This window comes from Homo sapiens, chromosome 18, assembly GCF_000001405.40.
Source record: "Homo sapiens chromosome 18, GRCh38.p14 Primary Assembly".
NCBI classification, from domain to species: Eukaryota; Metazoa; Chordata; class Mammalia; order Primates; family Hominidae; genus Homo; species Homo sapiens.
The window spans coordinates 26,687,302-26,704,781 of NC_000018.10; the positions used below are offsets into that span (position 1 = coordinate 26,687,302).

General features: G+C 41.1%; 2 long non-coding RNA genes across 2 annotated transcripts in view, besides 1 other annotated feature; one reads left to right on the forward strand and one right to left on the reverse strand.

Moving 5' to 3' along the window:
• Positions 1-2,367, forward strand: part of LOC102725227 (uncharacterized) — a 33,938-nt gene extending 31,571 nt beyond the window's left edge. Inside the window, exons 2-3 of the long non-coding RNA XR_935311.4 lie at positions 778-1,032; positions 2,054-2,367. This is a non-coding gene — a long non-coding RNA (uncharacterized LOC102725227). The remainder of the gene's footprint in view (positions 1-777; positions 1,033-2,053) is intronic.
• On the reverse strand, positions 320-16,337 carry PCAT18 (prostate cancer associated transcript 18). The gene is made up of 2 exons (NR_024259.1): positions 16,091-16,337; positions 320-2,670 (listed from the first exon to the last, which is right to left on the reverse strand). It is a non-coding gene; the product is annotated as a prostate cancer associated transcript 18 (long non-coding RNA).
• Positions 13,081-13,190: an enhancer, noted in NCBI's record as "active region_13191". NCBI's record gives its function as "activates an Ori minimal core promoter by ATAC-STARR-seq in GM12878 lymphoblastoid cells {active_cell/tissue: GM12878}" and the evidence as "EXISTENCE:reporter gene assay evidence [ECO:0000049][PMID:35858748]".
• Positions 16,338-17,480: the final 1,143 nt, after the last annotated feature.

Consider the following 17,480-nt stretch of genomic DNA (forward strand, 5'->3'; position numbering starts at 1 on the left):
ATTAAAATCTGAAACTACTAATTGCTTTTAGACAAACCAAATAACAAAGCTGCATTATGAACCTGAGGTTACAGATGGAGAGCACTGTTAAAGGTGTGGCAGGAGACAGTCTTGGTGTTGAGGAAAAAGAAAGGCACTCTGGCCCAAGAAATTGTTCACCTGAGCTCTGATGGGGTGTCTGCACAAAGGAAAATGGTGATCTGGTAAATAATCGGTTAAGTTGATTAAGGCAGCCAACCAAATGGGATAATTTAATACAAAACTAAAGAAAGCCTTTTGGCTAGGATTTCAGTAAGCAAGGAATTTCAAATTATATTGCAATGTTGGACCCAAACATTTTTATTGCCATTATCTGCTAGAAAGTTAGACATAGGCTGGAAAACACACTTAGGAACAATGATTTGTTTTTTGTTTGTTTGTTTGTTTGTTTGTATTGTTTTTCTCTCTGCACATCACTGTGAAATGACTCCTGAAAGACCATCCATACTTATTTAGAAAATAAGCCTGGGCTTTGATAACTAGACAATTTGACTTTCTAAGTGTTTAGACAAGCCAGGTATCAGGTGTGTCCTGCTATGAGAACATCCAATTTAAATAAACATCAAGGGTTCAGAGTAGACAAATCAGAAGGTAATTGTTTACTTTACAAAAGGTTCTTTTTATAAGATCATCCGCAATACGCTTGTTTTTGTTGACCTTTCCCACAGTATAATTTGCAAAATTATAATTAAATTCAATCTTTTCCAAAAATATATGTTTTTCTTTTTCTTTCTCAAGACTTTTTGTAGAAACTCTGCAGGTCAGAAGATTTTTGTATGGAATGATCTTCTCCAATCAATTATTTGAATCTAAGGTGTGCTCAAGAGGAGAATCAGTTTCCCATTCAACCACTTAGGATTCTTTCTCTCTGCGTCCTAAATTTGGCTTTGAGACCTTGGATGATGATTCTCCTAATCTGGTCAATGGACCACCTGCAAGAATCACCCAGGACTGGAGCCCAGGAATCTGCTCAGTAACGTGACTGGGGTGCATGTGAGCTAACATTTAAGAACTACTTTTGCAGAGTCTAATATGTGTAGACTCTAATATGTGCAGAGTCTAATATGTGTAAACTGTGTAGCTCTCTACTCTGTCATGCACTTTGCATCATCTTCTAGTCATTGTGTCCTGGAGCCCAGCCCAAAAGGCCTCCCAATCCCTGCCCTGCTTTGTTTTGGTCAAGAAGGGTATCTCTGGAGCACACTTACCATGGTAGATCTTGATTTGTATCAGGTATTTATGAAAAATTGCCACACATAACTACAATTCTTTTTGAAATAACTTATTATACGTAAAATTAAATTGCTTTCCACTCAATGAATATCTGTAAGAAATAGCTTTTTTTTTATTTTTTATTTTTGAGGCAGGGTCTCACTTTGCTGCCCAGGCTGGTTTCAAACTCCTGGGCTCAAGCTATCCTCCCACCTCAGCCCCCATGGTAGCTGCGACTACAGGCACATGCCACAATGTCTGGCTAATTGAAAAAAAAAAATTTTTTTTTGGTCGGGCGTGGTGGCTCATGCCTGTAATCCCAGCACTTTGGGAGGCTGAGGTGGGCGGATCACTTGAGGTCAGGAGTTCGAGACCAGCCTGGCCAACCAACATGGTGAAAACCCGTCTCTACTAAAAGTACAAAAAAATTAGTTGGGCATGGTGGCAGGCACCTGTAATCCCAGCTACTTGGGAGGCTGAGGCATGAGAATTGTTTGAACCCAGAGGCAGAGGTTGCAGTGAGCTGAGATCACGCTACTGCACTCCAGCCTGGGCAACAGAGCGAGACCCTGTCTCAAAAAAGTAAAAATTAGAACAAAACACAAAAAAATTTTTATTTAAGTCATGGTCTCACTCTGCTTCCCAGGCTGATCTCAAACTCCCAGGCTCAGGGGATCCTCCTTGCTCAATCTCCTAAAGTGCTGGGGTTACAAGTGTGAGCCCCTGCACCTGCCCTTAATTAATTAATTAATTATAAATGGGAAGCACTGAAACTGTGTCCTTCCCCCTCTTACTCTTCCAGAGGAAGAGAAGATCATCAGTGGCAAATGGCAGTCACAGGAAAGCAACACCCACAGCCGGTTTCACACGTGTGGAGAGCACCCTGAGCCTCCTCCTCCTGGTTTCCCGTGCTCTGCAAGTTCAGAGAAACTTCTCTCACAACCAACTATAGAAACAATCTTGGAACGTACAGTCTTAGAAATGGCTTTTTAATTGCAGCATATCAGAGTGAAAAAGGACCCAGAGATGTTGGAATCAGACAATCCTGGTTTCAAATCGGTTTCATTGTTCATCCTCATGTGATGTTTGGCAAGAAATAAAACATTTCTGCGTTCAGTTTCCTTGTCTGTGATATTACATAACATATTGCAAATATGCTGAGTGTTGAGAAAATAATGAACAACATGCAAGGAGTAGCTGGGATATGGTAGCAGCTCAGTAGATAATGATGATGATCAATATTCACCATTGACAAGTAGCTGTGAAATCCACAAATGGTGGACATAAAAGGTTAACCAGTGAAGTGCTGGGACAACGTAGCTGAAGAAATATTGGAATGTTCCTGCTCAGATTGGCCTCAGCCTGAAAACTGTTTACTTCCTGCCCAAATCTGGGGCCTGTCTCCTCTTCCAGCATTCCCTGAGGGAGGAGACAGAGAAAGAAAGTATAGGCAGAAATCATAGAAGTCAGCTGCTTTCAGATAACTTCTATAGCTGGTATTTTTACAGAGACTACATGTTGGGAGATGGTAAATTTACCTAGAAATTAATGTGATGAAGACTTTATACGTGAAACGGGAACTTTGGGATACTGACAACAGACAGAATAATGACTCTGTAGTGGTTTTTTGGGGGTTTTGTTTTGTTTTAGACAAAGTCTTGCTCTGTCACCCAGGCTGGAGTGCAGTGGCGCGATTTTGGCTCACTGCAACCTCTGCCTCCTGAGTTCAAGTGATTCTCCTGCTTCAGCCTCCTGAGTAGCTGGGATTACAGGTTCCCGCCACCACACCTGGCTAGTCTTTTGTATTTTTAGTAGAGATGGGGTTTCACCATGTTGGCCAGGCTGGTTTCGAACTCCTGGCCTCAAATGATCCACCTTGGCCTCCCAAAGTGCTGGGATTACAGGCATGAGCCACTGCGCCTGGCCATGATTCTTTAGTATTGATAAAAGTTTTCATAAAAGATATGTCACAGAGTAGGATACAAAAAAGACACACATCAAGCATACTTTGGATGGTGAAATGAGAATAGTGTACAGGGAAAGGCAGGAAAGACCTGGCTTAGGGATTCTCCAGTTCCCCAACTGGGCACCACTGAATGCTGGAAACAATACTGAAGATGACAATTTTCTAGGGACCTAATCTGGCAGAGGGTAATAGTAACCCTCCCAGAATGGTGTCTTAATAAGTTTTCTTCCTGCTTGGAGATGTTACGCTATCTATTTGCAAGTATGTTTTGTCGTTCAATTATCATATCAAGCCTATGAAATTGGTTTTATTTTTAGCCCCATGGTCCTGGGAATATTTTGGGAAGTGGTTACATCTTGAGTAATGGAGAATACCAGTTGAATCCCACATTGTGTGAAATATGTCTCCATTGGAGAGATTTACCATTTGTCTTCCCAGTATCCATTCGCTATTTTTAAGGTAAAATGACACCTCAAATTCCATCTGGGGAACCACTCTCTCCCACTCTCAGGCCACATAGTTTAAAAAGCATCACATCCATTCTTAACATTCTCTTTTGTTAGAGGATTTAGTTCATTCATCCTCCATGTGACCCAGTCAGAACGAGGCATAAGGAGACTGTTGTTCTTTCCCAAGGGACTTGAACCTGGAAGTAGGTGAGCTGGTGCTACTGTTGCCACCTTGCCACCACAGGTAAGTGAAGAATAAGGCCAATGAGTGGATGAACACAGAGCCCACTGAGAGGTGGACAGAAAATGGGTCTTGATGACATTTTTGGAGCCTAAATGAAACTGTTATTGAAGAAAGTCCCATCCTGGAATTTTTACCTATGTGAGCCAATAAACTTTCTTCTGCCTTGAGCTAGTTTTGGTGGAGTGTTTTTTGTTTTTTTGTTTTTTTTTTTTCATTTTCAACAGAAGAGAGTTGATTTGGTTTGGCTGTGTCCCCACCCAAGTCTTATCTTGAATTCTAGTTCCCATAATCCTCACATGTCATGGGAGGGACCTGGTGGGAGGTAATTGAATCATGAGGGTGGTTTCTCCCATTCTGTTCTTGTGATAACGAGTTCTCATGAGATCTTATGGTTTTATAAGCATCTGGCATTTCCCCTGCTTGCACTCCTTCTCTCTCCTGCCGCTGTGTGAAGAGGTGCCTTCCACCATGATTGTAAATTTCCTGAGGCCTCCCCAGCCCTGTGGAACTGTGAGTCAATTAAACCTCTTTTCTTTATAAATTAGCCAGTCTTGGGTATTTCTTCATAGCAGCATGAGAACAGACTAATACAAGAGTCCTAACTGGAAAAAGATCTCTTTCTCCCCACTCAATGCCATAACAAACTATAGATAGAGCTTGTCTGTTAGGTGGCTGTTTTGCAAACCAAGGACAAAATGGAAAACTGGCAAGTCATGGGCAATTTTATGCTCTGAGAGAATGTAAAGACAATCTCCCCAACATAGAGCACATTTCTGCAGGGATTGCTGGTTACATACTGTGATAGTTGTTCTTTCCGTCTTAAAGTCCTGATTATAGCTGGGCATATAATCAATTTTTTAAAAAGACTTCATCAGACTCTTTTGTGACTCAGCATGGCCATCTGACTAATCTCTGGCCAATGGGATTTAAGCAGCTTCTCCAGGTAATTTCCTTAAAAGATAGCCAGGATGTGCCCTTTGTCCTTTTTTCTTTGTCCTTTCCTTCATCGTGCTGCCTAAAATGTGGGTATGATGGCTGGAATTCTAACTATCATCTTGTATCATGAGGCCAGATTTCTACTTCAGAAATGGCAGAGCCATGAGCTAAAAAGATTCTGGATCCGTAGGAACTTCAGGGAACAAGCTATCTTACAGCTCTGGTTTGCCAACATTTGAATTCTTACTTGAGAAAGAAATAAACCTCTGTCCTATTTAAGTCACTGTTATTTTGAGTTTTTGTTAGCATCAAGCTTAATCCTAATTAAGGCAGTTCCAAGAACATGTTTTACAAGAAATTATTTTCTCAATCTTTCTTTGACTATCCATGAAACTGAAAATGAGTACAGCTAATGTATGTAAAGTCCATATGATGTTGATATATTCTTTCAATATATATTATATAAGCAATTGCAGCAATGTCCAAGTTAGATTCAGTGCAAACCAAAGTGACCCAATTCTTCCTATCTGCTGGGTGCTGTGCTAGGCCAATGGGATTTGTCAATGATAAAAGTACAAATTTATTTTTTCTTTCCTTAACAAATATTTCTTTTATAAAATTTTGTACCCTTTGACTAATAACTGCATTTTTTTTCTCCCCCTGGTGCCTGGCAACCACTATTTTACTCTCTGCTTTTATGAATTTGATTATTTTACATTCCTCAAGTAAGTGATATCATGTAGTATTTGTCCTTCTGTGTCCGGTTTATTTCATTTAGCATAATGTCCTCCAGGTTCATCCATGTTGTTGCAATTGGCAAGGTTTTCTTTTCTTTCTTTAAGTCTGAATAGTATTCCAGTGTAGGTATGTACCACATTTTCTTTATTCATTCATCTGATGATGGATATATAGCTTATTTCCATATCTTGGCTATTGTGAATAATGCTGCAATGAACATGGGAATGAAGGTATCTCTTTGAGATCCTGATTTCCATTTTTTTTTTGATATCTACCTAGAAGTGGGATTGGTGGGTTTATGGTTTGTTTATTTATTTATTTATTTATTTATTTATTTATTTATTTATTTTTGAGACGGAGTTTTGCTCTGTCACCCAGGCTGGAGTGCAGTGGCATGATCTCGGCTCACTGCAACCTCCGCCTCCTGGGTTCAAGTGATTCTCCTGCCTCAGCCTCCCGAGTAGCTGGGAATCCAGGCATGCAACAACACGCCTGGCTGATTTTTGTACTTTTAGTAGGGACAGGGTTTCACTATATTGGCCAGGCTGGTCTCGAGCTCATGATATCATGTGATCCGCCCACTTTGGCCTCCCAAAGTGCTGGGGTTACAGGTGTGAGCCACTGCACCTGGCCATCATTTTTAATTTTTTGAGGAACCTCTATGCTGTTTTCCATAGTGACTTACGAATTTACATTCTTACCAACAATGTACAATGGTTCCCTTTCCTCCACATGCTCAATAACAACTTATCTTTCATTTGTTTGTTTGTTTATTTATTTGTTTGTTTTATAATAGTCATACTAACAGATGTGAGGTGATATCTCATTGTGGTTTTGATTTGTTTATTTGTTTTATTATTTGTTTGTTTGTTTTATAATAGTCATACTAACAGATGTGAGGTGATATCTCACTGTGGTTTTTATTTCCATTTCCCTGGTGATTAGTGATGTTGAGCACCTTTTTGTATACCTGTTGGCCATGTGTATGTCTTCTTTGAAAACTGTTCAGGTCCTTTACCCATTTTTTAATCGAGTTACTTGCTTTTTGCTATTGAGTTGTAGAAATTATTTATATATATTGGATGTGTCAACCCTTGATCAGATATATCATTTGCAAATACTTTCTCCCATTCCTTATGCTGCCTTTGCATTTTGTTGATTGTTCTCTTTGCTGCGCAGAATCTTTTTATTTTGATGTAATTTCATCTGCCTACTTTTGCTTTTTTGCCTGAATTTTGGTTTTATATTTAAAAAAATCACTGCCAAGGCCAATGTCAGGAAGTTATTTTCCTATGTAGTCTTCTAGGAGTTTTACAGTTTCAGGTCTTATGTTTAAATCTTCAATCCATTTTGAGTTGAGTTTTTGGTATGGTTTAAGATAAAGGTCCAATTGTCCAATTTGCATGGAGATATACAGTTTTTCCAGTACCGTTTATTGAAGAGACTGTCCTTTCCCCATTGTGTATTCTTGGCACCCTTGTCAAAGATTATTTGACCATCTGTTAGTCTATATGTCTGTTTTTAAGCCAGTACCATACTGTTTTGATTACTGTAGCTTAATAACATATTTTTATTTTATTTTGAGTTTTATAGAGGCAGGGTCTCACTATATTGGCCAGGATGGTCTCAAACTCCTGGTCTCAAGCAATCCTCCTGCCTCAGTCTCCCAGTGTGCTGGGATTACAGGCATGAGCCACCACACCTAGCTTTTTATATATTTTGAAATCAGGAAGTTTGATGCCTCCTTCCAGTTATGTTCTTGATGAAAGTATGAGTTTTATACACAGATTTAATTTTTGGTTAAAAATCAATTAAATTATACTTTCAAAGATAAGATTTTGAGGTGTTTTAGAAGAGAAATGAGAAGCAAGGTGCTATGTATATTGTAGTTTGGATAAATGTTGTTCATAGAGGTATAGACACTGAAAGCCTTTGCTTCACAATAGCTATGGTACAGATGCTATAGGGCGGAAAATAATTAGTCAGGGCTGAAGTTAATAAACTACATAGGAATCACTGGATTCAATTCTATTTGTTTCACGGAGGTACTTCACATTGCTAGGTGACTTTGAAGGAAAGCAAGTATTTTTCAGCTTTAAAATTAGAAAAATTAGTGGATGTTAGGCAATCTACGAAAAATTTTGAAGTAATTATTAGTAATTTCTCAACAGTAGGTAAATTCAAATGTTCATTCCCATGTTAAAGATATGGAGGCAGAAAATAAAAAACTAAAAATGATCATGGGAGTGGTGTTGCTAGAAACTGGGAATAACGTTCATATCCTTTAGCTTTGTGACTACCCATCTACCCACACATTCATATATGGGAGTTATTGATAGTTCTGATTTGTTTGATTGGTGAATGTCATTTTCCAAGATATGTTGAAATTCCTAGAAGAAATAAGTGTTTTGTCAGGTGTGATGAATGCAGGGAAGGAAGATGAAAACAAGACAACATAGATGTATCAGTTTTCTCTTGCTGTTAATAAACTACCCTAAATAAAGCTTAGTGGCTTAAAACAATAGCATGTGATTCTGGAGGTTGACAATTTGGGCTGAGCTCAGCTGGGCAGTTTTGATCTCATCTTTTTCACGTGTCTTTTGCAACCCTGGGGTGACTATGTGGGTCTTCTGGGAGTTGACGGCTGTTGGTTGAAATACCTGGACTTTCCTCCACATGGTCCCTCATCCTCTAGAAGGCTAACATGCACTTATTCCCATAGTAGTAGCAGAATTTTAAGAGAAAGTGGGTTTGCATGTGGTGGCTCACACCTGTAATCCCAGCACATTGGACAGCTGAGGCAGGTAGATTGCTTGAGCCCAGGAGTTTGAAACCAGCCTGGGCAACATGGTGAAATCTTGTCTCTACAAAAATTACAAGAATTAACTGGTCATGGTGTCACGGGCCTGTAGTCCCAGCTAGTCAGGAGGCTGAGGCAGGAGGCTTGAGCCTGGGAGGCAGAGTTTGCAGTAAGCCAAGATCACGTCACTGCACTCCATCCTGGGCAATACAGCAAGACCCTGTCTCAAAAAAAGAAAGAAAGAAGAAAGAAAAAGAAAGAAAGAAGAAGGAAAAAGAAAGAAAGAAAGAAGAAAAAAGAAAGAAGAAAAAGAAAGAAAGAAAGAAAAAAAGAAAGAAAAAAGAGAAAGAAAGAGAACACATACAAGGAATGTATTCTAAGGATTGGTTTTGATCTCATCTTCTGTTCCTTCCACTGCATGCTACTATAGTTTCCAAAAAACGGTAAGACCAGCCTTTTTGATGAGAGGAGCTGCAGTCACATTTCAAAGGGCATAGATACAAAAAAGGGAGGGGCGTGGCCATTTTTCAATCAATCTACTGTCATGAACAGTATTGGGAAGCTGAGGGAAGATGGTCTTGATTTGTTGTTGAAAAAATGTGTGGAGAAATAGGAAGAAATAAAAAGAGGATACAGGCAGGGAGAAAGAAGGGCATCAAAGAGCAATGGCTGGTTAAAATGTGATACAAACAGCAATAGGGAACCCCGGAAGACCCTTAAGCAAGGCAGAAATGTAGACGAAGCAGAGGGCATGTATAAACATCCGCAGAGTTATAGGAGACTTCTGGCTGAGGGCCCGGCAAGATAAGTAGAGCGTTTGTATCTCTGAGTTTCTGAGTTAATGATGCCAGCAGTCTCTGGACCGGCCAAATTGTGGTGGATTTATTATTTACATTACAACTGCATTGTAAAATGAAAGCATATGTCTATATTTTCAATGCTTTGAAAATATCATTGAACATGCTGTAGAATTTTATATCCAGTATCAGGATGCAATTTCCCTATCAAATAAAATTGTTGTTTGCTTTCTGTACTCTATATTATTATGGAAATTTCACAGTTTATCAGCTACAGTGAAGTCGACTGAAATGAGTAGGCCACATATTATACAAGCTGTTTTCTCCCACCCCTCCGAATATCCTGATTCCCTTTCTATTTATGCTAATACTGTTTTATGCTAATAATGTACTTTTTCTGTTTATCTGTTTTGTTGCCATACAGCCTGATTCATAGGAGAAACGCAAATGTTTTAAAGCTCTCTGGTGGAAATGATAGTGTTCTGAAATAACTCTAGCCAGGAAACATCTTGGTGGTACCCTCTAGTTTCACTTTTCTTCCTGCCTCTCTTGATGATCCATTGCTGAACCCAACAAATAAGAAGTTGCTTAGGGCCTGGTTAATTTTGCTGATTTCTGCAAAGTATGCCTGTGTTTGTTCCTAGTGACCATAAGAGTAATAGTAACTTACTGTGCAACTGGATAATATTGGGGGAGACCCCCTTTTCCAAAAGCAATTGACCCCCTCCCCCTTTTTAAAATTGCAGTGTGAAACCAGCAAGTACCCAAATCCTGTTAGCACATAGTGTTCTTATATTTCTGAGTTCTGGAATAACAATTTAATAGGGTGTGTCTCCCCTTAATGGTTGTGATGCAGGGCAGGCAAGCGCCCAAATTTAAGGGCTTATCCTGGAGAATTCTTGGCTTTGTCCAGGAAAGAATTCAATGGCAAGCTGGCGGTGTTAAACAGCAATCTTTTATTGAACAGTAGTGCTCCTTGTGGAACAGGGCTAACTCCTAGGCAGCAGGCCTACAACCTGCAATGTAGGGGCTGTTGGCAACTGTATTTCTACCCACTTTCAATTACATGCAAATTAGGGGGTGGGTCAATGCAATTTGAGGGGATGGGTTATTTAGAACTTTCTGGGAAAGGGGCAGTAATTTTCAGGTCATTGCCATGGAAAGGGGTGGTAACTTTCAGGTCGTTGCCATGGCATTTGTAAACCATCATAGCACTGGTGGGAGAGTCTTATGCTAACAGGCAATGAGGGCAGCTAGCTTTCCTCACCATCTGCTGGGTCCTGCAGTTTTCTTCGCTTTATTCCCTTGGAACCTGGAAATGAGTCCCGCTGGTGTCCTACCTCAGTTGCATGTTTTGAAAAATATACCGCATTAGAGCTTGGTAGCTCCTATTTTCTCTAAAAGTGGTCTTCAGGTCTTGTGTCCATTTTCTCATTTTAATTTGTTGCCCTGCATTTGGCTGACTGTGGATTCTGAGCAGGAGGGAAGGATCAGCTGGCAAAGCAAGGAAAAGTATGGTGGAAGGGTCCTTCCCTGATTAGGGGTCTAGGGGATAGTTATTTAACCTGTAAGTGTGAGAGATTTTATAAAGAAAATATTCAGAAAAATCGCTTCTCGGCCTTTTGGTTAAGATCAAGTGAAGAAAATATTCAGAAAATATCCGCTTGTGTAAAATAATATTTAAAGAACAAATGAATGTTTCTGGTAGCATGTCTTCATTATAAAGCCAGGTCAGTTAATCCTTGTGGCTGAGAGCATGACCTTTGACGCTAGTTTCCACCTCTTCCTAGCTGCATGACTGTGGGCAAATATGTTAAACCTCAGTCAGTCTCGGCTTAATAATAACTCATAAGAATGTGTCAAAAGTTAAATTAATAAGTGTATTTGGTGCACAGTGCTTGGCATACAGTAAGGGCTCAGCACTGGCATCATCGTCATTATCACTGTTGTTGTCGTCATTGTCATTAACCAGCCTCCTCACATCTATTTTCTTATGCTGGTGTTCAAGGCCAAACTCTATCAATCATGTGATGTTGACTAGTAGGTGCTAGGTACATAGCCCTCAACAAGTTTATGAGAAATAAGGGAATGAGTGAGTGAATCTATCAATCATATTGTAATTACAGTGGTGCAGTGGTGTGTGTGCGTGTGTGTGTGTGTTTCTTTAAAAGGAGGATTCATTAGCTGAGCGTGATGGTGAGCATCTATAGTCCCAGCTACTCAGGAGGCTGATGTGAGAGGATTGCTTGAACCCAGGAGTTCAAGCCACTGCACTACAGCCTGGGTGACAAAGCAAGATCCTGCCTCAAAAAGAATAAATAAATAAAATAAAATAAAATAAAAGGAGGATTCAACCCAAATAAACAGATAAGTGCTTTTGATGACCTATAAATGGTGGAATGACTAGTAACAAAAAACTTTCTCCAGGGATTTATTGATGTTTTTGAAAATCCTAAATGGAAAACCAATAGCAAGTACGTAGAAGAAGCATTGCCTCAAGGCACCCAGGCCCTCACTTGACTTATCTCTGTCTTATCTCCCAAGGCTGCCCCTGAGGCTCCCCCTTTGGAATTCTAGGGCTCAGAGGAGTCTGGGTGAACACAAATGCCCTAAAGAAATATTGCAATTAATGTCTTTGTAGCTTGACTGTTTTAATAATGCTTTAAAAATTGTTTGAAAAAAGGGCAATGTTCATAGCTAGAGACTGAATTTCAGGCAACAAATACATCACATTATTCCAGACATCTTGGCCATCACAACTTCAGGATAATGTGCCCTGTTTTTCAGGAAAGGCTGGGCGTGGTGGCCCATGCCTGTAATCCCAGCACTTTGGGAGGCCGAGGTGGGAGGATTGCTTGAATCCAAGAGTTTGAGATCAGTCTGGACAATATAGTGAGACCCCGTCTCTAAACAAAAAAACAAATTTAAATTATCTGGGAATGGTGGCACATGCCTGTAGTCTCAGCTACTTGGGAGGCTGAGCAGGGGAGGATAGCTTGAGCCAGAGAGGTCAAGGCTGCAGTGATCATAGCTGCAGTGAGCTATGATCACACCACTGAACTCCAGCCTGGGTGACAGAGCAAGATCCTGTCTCAAAACAACAACAACAACCACAAAGTCCCCCTGCCCCCCGCCCCCAAAAAACACTGAGGAAAATTCTAAAATTATGAAGTACAGAAAGCGTCAAGATTGTTTTCAAATTTACTGAAGTCTCTGACTTTCCACACTCTGGTCTCTAATTAATCTCTTTCCCAAGACTTCCCAGGGTGTTATCTTCTTCTGAATTGGTGCATTCTCCTTAGAGCCCCTCCTTAAACAACCTCCTCTTGCTTTTAGGGACCTCTCTCCTTTCCCCGTTTAAATCCTATCCATCTTTCAAGTCCTAAGACAAATTCTATCTCTTCTAGGATATAGTTTTCTACAACTCTCTCCCTTATTTAGATCCACACAGTGTAGCATTTAATTGTTCTGTGTTAGCTTTGTCTTCCTAAGTAGGTCACGTTCTCCTTGAGGGCAAAGATTATGCTTTAGTTTCCCTTGTTTCTCACTTGGAGAGGCTGGGAGTGATATATACATAGTAGGTGCTGATTAAATATTTGTTGATTGATTCCCTGCAAAGGAGTAGCTGCAAACTAAAGTTAAAGCACTAAACAAACCAAAGCAGTGATCTGAATCTCCCTTTGGGAAGATACTCTTACGGGAATGGAAAAAATTCTTCAAAGAGCCTTGTCAGTTAATGTTCTTCTTTGAATGCCCTTCTAATGAGATTTCAGGTGGGGGTGGTGCAGGGCTGCAGGAGCACTGTTCTCCTTTCCTGTATAGTTTGGGGTCAGCTACCAAGGACATCCCAGGAGAACAGGGACTCTGGGGTACAGAGGCATGAGGATAGGATATAAAACAAAAAGGAAGTGAAATGCTTGTACACTCATGTCTACACCCAAGAATGTGTAATGCAAGTCTCTTACCCACAAACCAGAATGAAGAGAGGTTTGGTCCTGCAGCTAGAAAATAAGAGCAAGAGTGAGAGAGAGAGAGAGACAGAGAGAGAGACAGAGCCCTGAGGCTCTTTGGGGTTGATAATATTCTCTAAAGCTGGGGAGGGGAGAGCTGATAAAAAGTGCTTGTTCACACTTAGCAGCATGAAAGGTGACTGAGAATTAGCCTAAGCCTCTGTGCCTAGCCTCTTTATAATGTACTGAAAGTTTCATAGCTCTATGCAGGGCAGAGACTGGGCAGGGTACAATTCTTTACAAGACTAAATCTTCAGGGCTCTAAGGAAAGGGAAAAGAATGAATGAGAGGCACACTAGCAGGGTTGGGATAAATGGGTGCAGGAGGAGAAAAGCTGCTTCTTCCTCTTCTCTGGAGAGATCAAGGATGAGTGGATGGAGGGCTGTGTGAGCACATACACTTCAGAACCTGATGATGGGTAGTGGCTGAGGCCACTCATACAAACATGAAAACCACTGCTGAGTTGATGCACATTCATTTCTGATAGCTCAGCAATCTTACTATAAATAGGGAACAGCAGATGCCATTCATTGTTCTGGAATTGGAGGCACGGGCTCATTGTCTTGCTTGGGATATTTGGACCGGCATCATTTATTAATCTAAATATTCAGTAAAAGTGGAAAGTCAAGGATTCTCAGGTTATGGAAATTAGTGATCCCCTCCAACAGAAATAGACGTCAACACTACTTTTACAGATGCTGATGAAAAAGTAAAATGATTTGGTGGCCCATTGGCCAATTTACCTATTCATCTCTCTACCATCTATGAGTCTATATTTTTGATGCATTTCAAAGTAAATTGCAGACATCAACACACTTAACCCTAAATACTTCATAATGCACATATATAACTAAAGTTCAATATATGTTTACAGTTTTTTTCTTATGATATAAGATTAGCAAGGTTGCTTATATACAATGTAAATTGCTTATCTATAAGATGGAATGGTCCCTAATGTGGATGTTATCATCCTTAAGTGGAATTTTAATTTCCACTCTAGGTCCAAAATATTTTCTTTGTAAAATAATTCCTTTGAAGTGATAATGGAACATATGAAACACACACACACACACACACACACACACACACACACACTTCATCTCTCCTCTTGGATCTTTGAACATACACATACACTCTCTTCGTCTCTCCTCTTGGATCTTTGAACTTTGCTTCTGCTTAAAATCTCTCAGGATGGTTTCTGTAACTCTTTTTGGGGAGCGTTTGTTCCCTCTGGGTATGAGGCTCATCCACAGGTTCTTAAATATTGTAAAACCACCCATGTCCCACAGGTATAGCTGGGAAGACTGTTGGGTGATTCTAAGAAAGGAAAAGCAGGCGAGGAGAAGAGGTTAGGATATTTTTTATGGGAAAAAGCCATAACCAATGTCTAGATGGTTGAATATGCAATAAGCTGCCTGCTATTGCCCTTGGTTCTCAGCGGATATTCATAGCACAGAATATTCCAGGAAAAGTAGTAGTTTGGTTTCACCCTTGCTCTGCTTGGCAGTCCAGCAGTGCATGGGTAGGGGAGGCCTCCCCAGCAGAAGACACTTTCAGATGTGACCTTTCCTCACTACTTACATTGAGAAGGAAGAGGGCAGAGCAGAGTAGGCTGGAGATCTAAGAGCACAGTGCTCGGAGGAGAGATGGTGGGAGAGAGAACGCAGCCCCAGTCACTCTCCTTTATGACTTCCGGAGTCTGCTAGTGCCACAGTTCTCAAGTGTGCTTTGGGGGGTGGAGGGGGGTGCTCTGGAGGTCCCTTATGACTTCCGGAGCTCACTAGTGCCACAGTTCACTTAGGGACCCTCTTAGGGTATGTGTGAGGTCATCCCTTTTCCAACTGCGTAGTCATGTGAAGCTGAATTTTCTTTAGCTACACCACTAAAACAACATATTGCAACAAAGCGAATGCAGAAGTGGATATGAGAACCTAGCTGCCTTTTCTTAACATAGGTGTTAAAGAGACTTGCAAAAATGCAAAGTAATGTTACTCTTCTCATAAATTTTTAATTTTGGAAAATATAGTTTTTAAATGGAATAAAAATGCTGTCTATGTGTTATGTACCTTAGCATGTAATGGGTTTATAGTTCTTTTAAAATAAATGTCTACATGAATATTTAAAGTTTTCTTACTTTTAATTTCTTTCTCTCTCTCCCTTTCCTTCCTTCCTTCCTTCCTTCTTTCCTTCCTTCCTTCTTTCCTTCCTTCCTCCCTCCCTTCCTCCCTCTCTCTCTCTTTCTCTCTTTCTTTCTTTCTTGACAGAGTCTTGCTCTGTCAAGCCCAGGCTGCAGTGCAGTGGCACAATCTCAGCTCACTGCAACTTCTTCCTTCCGGGTTCAAGCAATTCTCCTGTCTCAGCCTCCTGAGAAAGTGGGATTACAGCCGCCAGCCACCATGCTTGGCTAATTTTTGTATTTTTAGTAGAGACAGGGTTTCACCATGTTGGCCAGGCTGATCTCAAACTCCTGACCTCAAGTTATCCGCCTGCCTCGGCTTCCCAAAGTGCTGGAATTACAGGTGTGAACCATTTTAATTTCTAATATCATCACTAATAATCTACATAAATAAAAGCTGTTTGGGGTTCTCGATAATCGCTGAGTGAAGAGGCTCTGAGACTAGAGTTTGAGAACATCTGCCTAAGGAAGAGCTTACGAATTCCAAAACCATGGCAGGAATGGCGATCCTTAGAGAAGATGGATTCATTTCAGGGACATGTTAACTGTAAAAAGATCAACTCTTCCTCTCTGAACCAACAGCCTGTGTCTACTCCCAAGTGCAAGTGTCCTGAGAGAGGTATGGCTGCATGCCTGCCAGGGAGTTTCCTTCCTTTACTTCATAGCACTGTTTGTTCACAACATTTTCTTCCTTATTGACTTGAACACAAGGACACCACCTACCTCATGTCTTCCTTCTTCCCGTGGATGTCCAGATGAAGCACTCCACACTCCTTTGAGAGAGATAAACAAGGAAGATGTGTGCTTAGTCCAGAGGTTTCATCAAGAAATGAAAGCAGAGACAATAAAGTTTTGGTCTTGGTTCTCCTGTTGGCTTCAGAATGAACATAATTAAGATGATTAACGATCAACTCAGGCCTGAAAAATGAGTAACTGTAGGTCATGTTGCCATGAAGTTACGAAGAAAAAGAACTCTTCAGAGGTGTATACATGTTCCTGGCCACTCTGCTTCTTAGGGTGGAGTTAGAGGACTCCCCGCCCTCCTTGCCTGCGAAGGAGGAGGCGTGGCCACACAGATAAAGCTGGTCTGAAAAGAGCATGGCTTTATTTGTTCTGGGGCCAGGTGAGCTTGCAAATCCACAAACTCAGGATCTGGCTGACTTAACCACCCAGCACAGGTGTCTCTGGAAAAAGTTGGCCACCACCCCTGGGTAGACCCTTTCACCATTTAGCAGAAAGGGAGGTGCTGAGTCACCATCACCAAATTATTTTCCCTGAATTTCCCAATTAGATACTTTAGTCTTTCTTTACTGGCAAGGAGTGAGAATGTGCAGACAGGCAAAGCGTGTTAATGCTGGTGCAGCCCCCTCTGCTTAGAAGGAGGTTCAGGAATCAGGTACAAGTATTATTGCCAAGCACATGCCTTCATTTGTTGAAGGGTCACTGAGTGCCTATCTGTGGCACTGACCGAGTTACGGCTTCTGAAAGAAACTGTCTTGAGCAGGGAGCTTCAACTGGGCACTGGAGGAGCTGGGAGGCAAAGGACCAGCCTGTTCATTGGCTAGAGAAATCCAAGGCTGATATCAGAGATCACATGATAAACACCAGGCAAGAGGGCTCAGAGATGGGCATCAAGGTCAGCCCTGGAGCCATGAGCTCTTTATATATGTGAGGAACTAGAAAGGGGTGGTGTTCCAGACAGTTGTCTTGCTCCCTGGCTTCCACACTTGCAACCTACCTCTGGGAGCCAGCAGGGTGTTTTGTACACAGATGAGTAAGGTTTGCTAACAGGACCAAGGATAGAGTGATCAGAGTTGTGTTTCACAAAGATAATTTGTTAGGTACCTACTACACGCTAGATTCAGGTACTAATCCAATATTGTACCTGGGTCGCTAAGACTCCAACTTCCCAAGACCCCTCCCTTTCTGGGGGCAGAGTTAGGGCATTTGGTAATCTTCCTCAGCATCCATGGTAGCTTGGCTGCTGCCCTTGCCTTTGGTCGCAGCTGTGGCCGACCCTAAGCTTCTTTGATATGGGTGTTCTGCTCTGTTCTTCCTGTACTTCTGTTTCTTGTGTGGTTGCCTTTCCTCATGGCCAGTCCTCTTTTAAGCA